General features: G+C 46.0%; 2 annotated features.

Annotated features, from left to right (window-relative positions):
- Window positions 4609-5506: an enhancer, noted in NCBI's record as "NANOG hESC enhancer chr22:23371522-23372419 (GRCh37/hg19 assembly coordinates)". NCBI's record gives its function as "activates a minimal SCP1, AML or CMV promoter by ChIP-STARR-seq in naive H9 embryonic stem cells {active_cell/tissue: H9 hESC(naive)}" and the evidence as "EXISTENCE:reporter gene assay evidence [ECO:0000049][PMID:30033119]".
- Window positions 6029-6804: an enhancer, noted in NCBI's record as "H3K27ac-H3K4me1 hESC enhancer chr22:23372942-23373717 (GRCh37/hg19 assembly coordinates)". NCBI's record gives its function as "activates a minimal SCP1, AML or CMV promoter by ChIP-STARR-seq in naive H9 embryonic stem cells {active_cell/tissue: H9 hESC(naive)}" and the evidence as "EXISTENCE:reporter gene assay evidence [ECO:0000049][PMID:30033119]".

Consider the following 12545-nt stretch of genomic DNA (forward strand, 5'->3'; position numbering starts at 1 on the left):
GAAATTGCAAAAAGGTTTTAATTTTTAAATTCCATAATCTCTTTCTTTTTGAAATTTTTCAAGTTGGTATCTCAAAAGTTCAACTTCTGCTGTACCCCTGCTGCTTCAGCTCTTTCTTTCTTTGAGAAGGCCTGGGATGGTAACTTTTGTCAGCTCCTGTGTGTGTGCTCCTATAACTTTTTTTATTAATAGTCTAAAGTAAGGGAGAGGATTTTTGAAAACAGGCAAATCTTACAGGATCTGCCACTGTCTGTGTGTCTGTTATGTCTACATGTTTATATGTGCCATGTGGAAGTGATGTTTTACTACCAAACTATATAAAAGAGCTCTAATCAGTTGGCTTAAAGAGGCCAGGCACAGTGGCTCAGGTTTGTAATCCCAGCACTTTGGGAGGCCGAGGCGGGTGGATCACTTGAGGTCAGGAATTCAAGACCAGTCTGGCCAACATGGTGAAACCCCATCTCTACTAAAAATACAAAAATCAGTCTGGTGTGGGGCGCATGCCTGTAGACCCAGCTATTCAGGAGGCTGAGGCAGGAGAATCACTTGAATCTGAGAAGCAAAGGTTGCAGTGAGCCAAGGTCAGGCCACTGCACTCCAGCCTGAGCAACAGAGTGAGACTCCATCTCAAAAAAAAAAAAAAAAAAAAGAAATAAAAAGAAAAAATTGGCTTAAAGAAAAGTAAGTGCTTGTCGACTAACAGACGGTAGCTCAGATGCCTTTTACTTCACATGATTTTAGTAATCTTTGGTAAGATTAACTTGGCAAATTGAAGCTCAAAATTGTCTCCAGTTCTTAAGAAATTTAAAGTCATGTTATGTTAAATTAAGTAATCCTGGATTTTCCACTGGGAATTTGGATTACTAAAAATTAGAATAGTTGGAGAATAAGATATGTTTTTGGTGAGGATGTAAAAACATGAGGATATGGTTTTGCTAAAGAAAATGTATTTTTTTCTAGTTTAGAGACCATTTAAGGGTCACTTTAAAATAAAATTTAAAAAAAATTGTTTCACTCTGTTGCCCAGGCTGGAGTGCAGTGGTGCCATCTCGGCTCACTGCAACCTCCACCTCCCGGGTTCAAGCGATTCCCCTGCCTCAACCTCCCAAGTATCTGGGACTACAGGTACACATCACCACATCTGACTAATTTTTGTATTCTTAGTAGAGGTGTGGTTTCACCATGTTTGCCAAACTGGTCTCAAACTCCTGACCTCAAGTGATCCACCCGCCTCGGCCTCCCAAAGTGCTGGGATTACAGGCATGAGCCACTATGCATGGCCTAAAATAAAGAAAAAATTATACAGACTAAATGGATAAAGAGAAAAATAAAAGAAAGGGTGGAGAATGGATGTGGTCACCCATCTTAAGGAGCTGCAGCTGTGCTGCATTCAGTTACTAAAAGTTAGCAGTAGAATTTAAAGATGGATCATGCTCCCAGGAAGTTGGTTCACTGGATGCATAAGGAAATACAAGCTATAACCACAAAATAAGTGATAGAATTTTTAAAAATAAAGAAAATGCAAATTAATAAGGAAGAAGGAAAATATTTAATCCCTTGGTTATTGTTATCTGTAATAGCTGAGATGAAAACAAAAGAGAGTGCTGGGTTGGGCCTTAAGACTGGCCCAAGCTCAGATGTGGGTCTCTCTCAGCTCAGGCCACTAGCCTCAAAGTGAAACGGGAAAGGTTCCCTTGTCCCCCTCTCAGGGCATGCAATGGGGGCGTGGCTCATTTCTTCAGTGCCCCACTGCTCAAACCTCTAGGGGAGCATACAGACGGGCAGCCTGTGGGGCTCCCACCCCACAGCAGTGTCTAGGGGTGAATGTTTACAGCTGAAGCCCCAGTGGGCGTGTGTTACAGGGTGCTCTGTTACAAGTTTGCGGCCTATAGGCGGCTTGTGTAAACCCTCTCAATTAGGCCCTCTACCTTGTCACAAGGACAGAGGGCTTTCTGTATCCTGGGTTCTTGCCTTAGTATACCGGAAGAATCAGATCACACGTGGGCTTGGATAATGGGTGCAAGGTTTTACCGAGTGGAGGTAGCTCTCCACTGATGGAGGATCCAGAAGGGAGATGGTTTTCCCCTGTAGTTGGGCCACTCAGCAGCCCCGGCTCTCCTCCGACTGCTCCAGCCAAACTCCGCATTGTTCTGCTTGTCATGGCCTGCCAGCAAGCTGGCATCTGCCAGCGTGCTCTTCCACCAGCGTGCTCTTCCACCAGCATGCTCTTCCACCAGCGTGCTCCCTCGACGTCCTCTTGCCATCCAGCTGCTTGTGTCTTCTTCCGGTGATGTGCTCCTCTCAATGTCTGGCTGCCTGTGTGTTTGCCTGCTAGGGTCTTGGGTTTTTATAGGCCCACGATGGGGACATGGCAGGCCAGGGTGGTCTTGGGAAATGCAACATTTGGGTGCAAAGGCAGGAGTGCCTGTCCTCACCTAGGTCCATGTGTGTTGAGCCCCAGCCAGGGACCACACCCTCCTCTACCCAGCACTTCCCTTTCCCTTTTCATTTAAAGGGACCACGCTCTTCCCTTCCCAGCACTCCCATATCAAAAGCTACCCACAAATGGAAACATTAAGCCAGGGTGACAAAAGGTACCTCTGAGGTATGTAATTACCAAGAAGGTAGTCAATGTAGGGGAAGGGCAAAACCAAGTAACTATTAAAATAAGAGGGTATAATATAAAGAAATTGTACCATTTGGTAGATTGATATCATCAGCTTCCTGAGAAACCTTTGCTAAAATGGACTGTAAGAATAACTACTTTAAGGACAGTATCTTTAATTTTAAATGCTACAGAATGAAAGAGCATCTCTGGGTTGATGCAGGACCCATAGCTCACTATTAAACAATTGCGGCTGAGTTTATGTGATCCAAATGCCCAGGAGGTTATTCCTGAGCAAATGGCCAGCCTAGTGAATTGGATAAATGCCCATGTAAGATCTGTTTACCCTGAGAAGGGCATTTCCTAACTCTCCCTATAAAATGCCAAGTGGAGCACCCCAGATGAAATAGCTGATATGCTTTCTATACAAGCCATCTAGGACTGGCTTTATCATGACCAGGATATTCACCCACTGAATATGGCTATTACCCAAGTTATGGTAAATGCTGTAGTTAAGGGGGTCCCTTCCACATGGACACCCCAGGTTATAACCAGAAAGGGTTCCCAATCTAGACTCCAAGAGAGGGTTCTTAGACCTCATGCAAGAAAGAACTTGGGGCAAGTACATAAAGTGAAAGCAAGTTTATTAAGAAAGTAAAGAAACAAAAAAATGGCTACTCCATAAGCAAAGTTATTTCTCACTTATATGATTAATAAGAGATGGATTATTCATGAGTTTTCTGGGAAAGGGGTGGGCAATTCCTGGAACTGAGGGTTCCTCCCACTTTTAGACCATATAGGGTATCTTCCTGATATTGCCATGGCATTTGTAAACTGTCATGGCACTGATGGGAGTGTCTTTTAGCATTCTAATGCATTATAATTAGCATATAATGAGCAGTGAGGATGACCAGAGGTCACTTCTGTTGCCATATTGGTTTCAGTGGGGTTTGGTTGGCTTTTTTTTTTTTTTAACCACAACCTGTTTTTTATTTATTTATTTATTTATTTATATTTTTTATTTTTTTTTAGATGGAGTCTTGCTCTGTCACCCAGGTTAGAGTGCAGTGGCACCATCTCGGCTCACTGCAAGCTCTGCCTCCTTGGTTCACGCCATTCTGCTGCCTCAGCCTCCCGAGTAGCTGGGACTACAGGTGCCTGCCACCATACCCGGCTAATTTTTTCTATTTTTCAGTAGAGACGGGGTTTCACCGTGTTAGCCAGGATGGTCTTGATCTCCTGACCTCGTGATCTGCCCACCTCGGCCTCCCAAAGTGCTAGGATTACAGGTGTGAGCCACCACACCCAGCCACAACCTGTTTTTTATTAGCAAGGTCTTTGTGACCTGTATTTTATGCCAACCTCCCATCTCATCCTGTGACTTAGAATTCCTTAACCTCCTGGGAATGCAGCCCAGTAGGTCTCAGTCCTTTTTCTTTTCTTTTCTTTTCTTTTTTTTGAGATGGAATCTTCCTCTGTTGCCCAGGCTGCAGGGCAGTGGCACAATCTCGGCTGTCTGCAAGCTCCACCTCCCGGGTTCAAGCGATTTTCTCTGCCTCAGCCTCCTGAGTAGCAGGGATTACAGGCACCCACCACCAAGCCCGGCTAATTTTTGTAGTTTTTAGTAGAGACAGGGTTTCACCATGTTGGCCAGGCTGGTCTTGAACTCCTGACCTCAGGTAATCTGCCCACCTCGACCTCCCAAAGTGCTGGGATTACAGGCGTGAGCCACCGCACCTGGCTGGTCTCAGCCTTATTTTACCCAGCCCCTCTACAAGATGGAGTCACTCCACTTCAAATGCCTCTGACTAAGTGACATTACTTCTGCAGAACAAATTTGCTGTTCTTCATGGGTCTTGCATATGCTAATAAAACATTCGGCTTAAAAGAAAAATAGGAAAGGCAAATGGGAGTCAAAAGACTCTTCTAAGATGAGTGGTTATTAAGAAATGAAATAAAATGAAAATTGATGGGGTTAAAACAAAGGTCTTTACAACACTATCAAAGGTTATAATAGCTTTGATAGTGGCTATTATATATAGCTTGGCTATAATAGTCCTCTAAAGACAAACCAGGTTACAATTCCCTTCCTGATGTTTTTAGTTGATGCCCTAATGGAATAGGTTTCTTTTTCTGTTCTGACACACAAGTTCTCTTCTGATTGTCAAATTATTGGCTAAAGGGAGCCCCTGCTGGTCCCCAACATTATAAAGCCCGACACCAGTTTTTAGTTTTCTGCTTTCTGCATTTGCTCCAGATTGGAGAAATTTAAGAAAAATCAAAAGACACGGAGTTAAAATGAGAGAGCTGACATTGCCTGGGGCAATGTTGAGGCAAATTACGATAATGATTGACAAAAGGGCCTGAGGCCCTTCACCCAGCCCCCCTGCTGGAAACCCAGATTCACTCTCACCAGGGAAGATAAAACGGTCTGGGATAGAGAAGAAATGTTCCTAGAACAAGAACGTAAAAATATAAGGGACCTGAAGCTATCCCTGCAGTAATGGAAATAATGATGCCCAAAAGAGTTCCATGAGAAAACAAATGGTTTATGTAAGATCTTGCTTCCTGGAAAATGCAAGGAGAAGATACTTGCAAGCAGGGAGCTTCTTTTCCCCCTTAGGATTAACACTGCATGAGGAGCTGCTAGATTCTACAGTGCTTGATAAATAGCTCTTCCCTGACTGACAAAGAGCTGCTTAGTTTGCGGATGGCCGTTCCTAGGTGAACAACTGACATCCTATTTGGAAGGCTGCTACTCTGATTGTGAAGTATACTTTTATGAACAGAATTTACCTTTCTTGCTACCTGAGTTCCCCTAAATTCGGTAACTATTCATGAGTATCCTTATTTTATGGCAATATACTTGTTTGCATAAGTTCGGTTAAGAGGACATAATTGGAGACACTGGTTATTTTACCAAGGCTTTGACTAAATAATATATTTTTAGGAGTCCCAGCAAAGCCAACTTGAAAAGAGCCTATGTGGCCAATCAATTCTTGTTGAACTTTATGCACATAATTAGGCCAAGTATAAGCCTAAAACTTAACTTACACACAAATTGGCCTTACCATGATTTCTCTTTAGTGGAAAAACAGGGCTAGAGAGAGAAAAATTATGTTTCAAAAGGAAAACTATTCACACACCTGTTACTAGATTGCAGCCCTGACCTTTGTTTCTGAGCACAGATTAAATCATGAATTATTTCTTGGCTATAACAGTCCTCTAAAGACAAACAAGGTTATGATTTTCTTTATGTTTTTAGTTGGCATTCTAATGGAAGAGGGTTATTTTTCTGTTCTGACACACAAATTCTTTTTTGATGGTCAAATTATTGTTATTTAGGTCACATAGCTTTACTTCTTCTGAGGAAACCAGAATTATGGTATTCTGAAGGCTAGAGACAATTTGACAAAGCCCGTGAATCTCCCTCATTTGAGATCCTGCTGGGCCCGATGTGTTTTTCACTGCCAATGCCCTGCTGCTAAAACTATACAAGCACCTGGCTGGGCACGGTGGCTCACGCCTGTAATCCCAGCACTTTGGGAGGCCGAGGCAGGCGGATCACAAGGTCAGGAGATCAAGACCAGCCTGGCTAACACCGTGAAACCCTGTCTCTACTAAAAATACAAAAAAAATTAGCAGGGCGTGGTGGTGGGTGCCTGTAGTCCCAGGTACTTGGGAAGCTGAGGCAGGAGAATGGTGCACCGATTTCCACATGCAAAAGAAAGACTCTGAAACCCTACTTCACACTATGCACAAAAAGTCATTTAAAATAGATCAACAGCCTATGCCGGGCACGGTGGCTCATGCCTGTAATCCCACCACTTTGGGAGGCCGAGGTGGGCAGATCACGAGGTCAGGAGATCGAGATCATCCTGGCTAGCACGGTGAAACCCCGCCTCTACTAAAAATACAAAAAATTAGCCGGGCGTGGTGGCGGGCGCCTGTAGTCCCAGCTACTCAGGAGGCTGAGGCAGGAGAATGGCATGAACCCGGGAGGCGGAGCTTGCAGTGAGCCGAGATTGTGCCACTGCACTCCAGCCTGCGCGACACAGCAAGACTCTGTCTCAAAAAAACAAAAAAAGAAAAAGAAAAAGAAAAAGAACGTTAAGGGTTGATGAATGCCTGTCCACCTTTATTCCTGTCTGGCTCAGAACATTTAAATTATGTCTTTTAGCTCTAAGTCTCTTGGCTGTAGGAGTCCCACTTAGAGACAGAAGGGACCCATGGCAGGCAGCCACACCACCCCAGCAATGCTGTGGGACGAAATAAAAGTTTGGTGGCTTGCTGTTTTCTCTGGGAAATCTTGGCCAGAAGGAGGAGAATGTAAACCAAAAATAAAATTCTAAGCCCTACAACTTACTGATGGACACCCCTCTTTACCAAGGGCATTCCAAAGTAAACCTGAAAAGCTAGTTGAGGCCATGGTGGGAAGTAGAGGTCAGACATGCTTCATTATTCCCTCCTCTTTTTGGAATTCGAGCATAACTAACCAGCATTAACATTAAAACAGAGATCTTAAGACTGACAATACAGACTTCTTGTAGCAATAAGACATCAAATTCCTGGCTGACTCTAGTATAGCATCACATGACAGATGGCAGGCCCTGAAATAAAGTATTTTAGCCCCAAACATGCTTCTTTGACATATTTTGAAATGGCCCTGCAAAGCTGTCTCTTCTGAAGGAAATCTACATTCTGTAGAAAGTCCCCTTCCCTTGCCAGGTCTTTTCTGTGACCCAAGAGAATTAACTAAGAGTCTGGCACCTTTTAGGTCTGATAAGAGCTCTGAAGTCTTCATCTACATGACAAAACCTTGGTCACCACAATACCTTATTTTAACCCAGACATTCCTTTCTATTGATTCTAGGTCTTTAGGTAATAACTCTTTAACCAATTGCCAATCAGGAAATCTTTAAATCCACCTATGACCTGGAGCCCCTCCACCTTCCCTGCTTTGAGTTGTCCCGCCTTTTTGAACTGAACCAATGTACATCTTACATATATGGATTGATATCTTATGTCCCCCTAAAATATATAAGACCAAGCTGTAGCCCCACCACCTTGGGCACATGTTCTCAGGATCTCCTGGGGCTGTGTCATGAGCCATTGGTCACGCATATTTGGTTCAGAATAAATCTTTTCAAATATTTTGCAGAGTTTGACCCTTTTCATCAACACCATGTTTTGCAAGAGAGTCATTGAGCAGGTGGGTGTTGGCATGGCCACCGCATGGACCAGGGTGATGGGTTGCCTTCACATTGTAGTTGTCTTTGCAAGTGTTGCCCTAGAAGGTTCTATTTCACCTCATGGGTTTACACCCTGGCATCATTTGCTTTCTGAGACATGATTGTCTCCAGGCCAGGGTTGATCCAAGCTCCTTCTTGCTCATGGAGGCAGAGAGCTCTTATTTGTTTTCCTCCCTTTGTAGTGTAATCTGCTTTTAGCCATGCCATAGATTATGCAAAATTGTAAATGGTTCTCTCTCACACAATTTGGCTGTAGGAAAATATTATTCTGTGGCCTCTGTACACGGACGCGTCATGCTTAGAGATTTCATGCCCACAGGGGATGCATAGCAGTGGGCTCCTTCCACCTTCCCTGCAATGAGGAGGTAATTATTTGACCATCTCTTTCAGCCACACTTAACACCAAAGATCCCAACTAATGGCTCGATATTTTATCAATAAGACTGAAAGTGTAGCTTGTCAGATATTTTCTTTCTTTTTATTTTTGAGTCTTGTATTAAATCTTGTTTCCCCTAACAGCACTGCATAGCTGGGCATCGCAAAAGCACAGCACCGGAGGCTCTGTGATCTGGTCCTGCCTGCCTCTCTGGCCTCACTCTCTGCATGCACAGCCCTAGGTCCCAGCCACTCCAAACGCTCACAGTGCTGATTACTGAATTGTCGTGTACCTTCTCTGGCCTTTCTTCATTGGCAGAGACTGTTTTCTTTGCCAGAAATATTTTTTTACTCCTCCACCTGGCCAGCGCTTCCTCCCTTGAGTTCAGTCCTCTAAACCAACCTGCCAGTGCTCCCTGCACCACCCAACTTAACAGGACTCAGCTTAGCACCATGCATGTGGAAGGAGAGCACTAGGCTTCAGGGATGCCAGAGCTGCCTCTCTTTGCTCTCCCTGGGAAGGGCATGAGCAAGAGGGCAGGCAGTAATGGGACTCTGCCTCCCACCTGGGATGCCAGCCTCAGGGTATTGGAACCTATCACCACAGAAAACTGGAGGATCCAGTCAGTGGCTCTCCTGCTACCCATGGTCTGAAGTTGCGGGCACATTGCACATACTTTCCTGGATTAGAGAACTCTCCAAGCCCTCCCTCCTGCCCTGCTTCAGAGAGCATGCCAATTTGGCTTCTGCCCATCTCCAGCAATGGTTCCTGTGGATCCTCTGCCTAGCAACAGGATTTACCAATGGATCAGTGGCAGGGCAGAATAGAAAGGAACCAGGGATGGCTCCCAGAGGATGTTTTACCTTAAGCAACCAGAGAGATGAAGGTGCCACATAGACAGATGGAAAACTGTTATTTAGGACACATTTGGAACTCAGCTAGTCAGGGGAGCAAGGATGAAAATGGTTTGTCTCATCACCCACCTTCCTGCCAGGTGACTCCGGTGGGCTCCTCTTTGGTAGGGTGCCTTCTGGAGGCTGACTTGTGGGATGGTGATTGGCTTCTTTCAATTGGGGGTCCATCGGGCCTATAGCCCCTCGAGCTGCATGGAGAACAGCAACGGCCCTTTGCTCATCTGCAGCTTACAGCACTGTCTCCACTTCATCTTGATGCTGCTCCTGGTCAGTCTCAGCATGCTAGGGATCTCCTTACTCACAGACCCAACTCCTGATAACCAAGTAATTGCTACTAGGTAGGGTGCTCTGGGGTGGACCCTAATAGCACTTTGGAAGGCCGAGGCAGGCGGATCACCTGAGGTCAGGAGTTCGAGATCAGCCTGGCTAACATGGAGAAACCCCATCTCTACTAAAAATACAAAAGTAGCCAGGTGTGGTGGTGCCTGCCTGTGATCCCAGCTACTCGGGAGGCTGAGGCAGGAGAATCACTTGAACCTGGGAGGCAGAGATTGCGGTGGGCCGAGATCACGCCATTGCACTCCAGCCTGGGCAACAGGAGCGAAACTCCATCTAAAAAAAAAAAAAATAGGGGAATTCCTGCATTCTCTTTGGAAAGAGGAGGGCTGGGGGTGGCACTGGAGTGAATTAGAAATAGGAGGGTAACCCTGGAAGGGCCCGGCTTAATGAAACAAAGCTGAACTCACCTAATGCTCTGCAGTGATCTGTCAATTAGGTGTTCATTTAGATAGAGAAGTTTGGCTTTTAAAATGCAAATTTTCTTTGGAAGTATTAAGTTCACCAACCTCAGTATGCATTAATGCAATCAGGGCAATCCCAGCTGCTACCCACCCAGGGGGAATTAAGCCAATGGCAAGGGGGAGGGGTGGTGTTGTGGGCAGCTGCCTACAGCCTTCTCCTCATGAGCCATTTCTTACCTCCCAGGAGGCAGGTGTCAGTCACCCCTGTTTTGAATATTTATTACAAAGTCTGGGTTCAGAGAAATTAAGTAATTTCTCCAAGGTAACAAAACTACTAAGTGTCAGGCCTGGGCCCCAACCTGGCTCCAGAACTCATGCTGGCTCCACCAGGTTGTTATAAGTTTAGATAAGTGTGAACAGGGCAGGAGAGGGCTCTCCCCTACCCACTAGAAATGTCAGGTGATGGTTCAGCAGTTATCACATTGCCTCTCTAAAAATGATAACGCAACAGCACCAGAGAGAGGCCATTTCCTGATGTTCCACACCTGTTAACAGCAAAATGTTAATTGAATGCAGGCCCCAGGGAGAAGCAACTTCCTGGGCATGCAAGTTAGGAGACAAAAATGGTGAAGTATGATCTTCCGGGGGCACACGCCACTGGAAAAAGAAAGAAAGCCTCAGACGGGCGTGCATATAACTCCCTAAACACAGTGCGCATGCTCAATTCCAAAGGCTAAGGAAAGCACTGCGCATGCGGAAAGCCCGCCCGAAGGGCAGAATCATGGGAAAGAGGCAAGCTCATAAAAGTCCTAGGATCATGGTTAAATGGGGCACTTGACCTTCTCTCTTTAACCTTCACATGTCCTCCTGGGTCTCTTCCAAGCACCCCTTCCTTTCTTTCCTGTTCTAAGGCCTTTTAAAATAAACTTCCACTCCTGTTCTGGAACTTGCCTCAGTCTCTCTTTCTGCTTTATGTCTCTCAGTCAAATCCTTTCTTCTGAGAAGGCAAAGACTGAAGTTGCTACAGACCCATATGGATAGGCCACCAGTAACTTGGGGTAACTCGGATCCCTTCCATCGGTAACAAAGTCACCCACTTTGCCAACTTAGCAGGACAGGGACTTGGCCCCAACAGAAAGCAGCAGGAGAGAGGGTCCTGAGGGTTCAGCCAGCAAGCAACAGGGTCTGAGGTTCAGGGAGGACCGCAGAAGGGACTGGGGACAGAAGACCTGTACCTTTCTACCAGCTTCACCCAGGGTCTGGATAAAAACTGGCACTTGGAAGACTGCAAGCCCCAGGGTCCCCCAGCTCCATCGTGGGGATTTTCCCTCTGGCCACCCCATTTTTCTGCTCAGCATTTTCCATTTGGTTCATTCCTCTCTTGCACACATAGCCCTGCTGGAAGAGGGGCAAAGCACATGGGGAAAGGAGCTGGCTGCTCACACCCCACGTGATTGCCACCTGCATCAGTGACACACATGGGAGACTTCCCTGCTCCTGGCACTTTGAGAAGCTGGGGGTGGGTGACTTTCTATTTCCTGTTGCTCAGGGTCTCATCCGTTTTCTGTATTCTTTTCTGCTGTTCTCTTACTCTCAACTTCTTGATGTTGCTCACTTCTTGTTTAGTCAGCCACACATTTTTTTGAGTGTTTCCTACCTGCCTGGCTCTAGAGAACACAAAGAAAGTAGCTGCTGAAGCCAGGCACGGTGGCTCACGCCTGTAATCCCAGCACTTTGGGAGGCCAAGGTGGGCAGATCACGAGGTCAGGAGATCGAGACCATCCTAGCTAACATGGTGAAACCCTGTGTCTGCTAAAAATACAAAAAAAATTAGCTGTGCATGGTGGCACGTGCCTGTAGTCCCAGCTACTCAGGAGGCTGAGGCAGGAGAATCGCTTGAACCCGGGAGGCGGAGGTTGCAGTGAGCCGAGATTGTGCCACGGCACTCCAGACTGGGTGACAGACTGAGATTCTGTCTCAAAAAAAAAAAAAAGAAAAGAAAAGAAAAAAGAAAGTAGCTGCTGAAAGAGGAAGGGGAGAGGAAGATAAAAATGAGTGTTTATGGGTCAGTGACAACGTGCCAGGCCCTGGTCCACTGTGCATGGCACCTCTGCTCACCACTGTCAGGGAAGGATGACTCTGTCCCCGACTCAACGCAAGCTCAGAAGCCCACAGGCACTGTGCAACCCTTGGCCCTGGCTCTTCCAGTGACCTCATCCACAGGAAGCTGATTGTGTCCTTGAGAAGGCAAAATGTGCACATATGGCATCACCAGGAAGCAATTAAAGGCTAAGCTGAGTCTCTGTCATCAACACAGCAGAATCTGAGTCCCAGAATTCTAGTCTGAGAGGTGGGGCTCAGGCTGGGGAGGCAGCACAGCCCAGCAGGGCTCCTAAACATCCCTGCCATGGTTTAGCAGGAGAGAGTGTGGGCCAGAGCTTCAAATACCCTCCACTGAGGCTGGGGTAACAGGTTCCAATGTATCTACTCTCCTGATCCCAGCCCTTAAAACAAAACAAAACCACAACAATCAGCTGGGTTTTGTTACTTCCCCAAGTTCGCAGATATGTTTTTAGGAAGAGGAAAAAATGACAGACCAGAAGGGAAAGGGAGTGCCCCCCTTAGGGTCCGCAAAGGTGCAGCTGAACTAGGCCCTAG

The sequence above is a fragment of the Homo sapiens genome, chromosome 22 (assembly GCF_000001405.40).
Source record: "Homo sapiens chromosome 22, GRCh38.p14 Primary Assembly".
Classification (NCBI taxonomy): domain Eukaryota; kingdom Metazoa; phylum Chordata; class Mammalia; order Primates; family Hominidae; genus Homo; species Homo sapiens.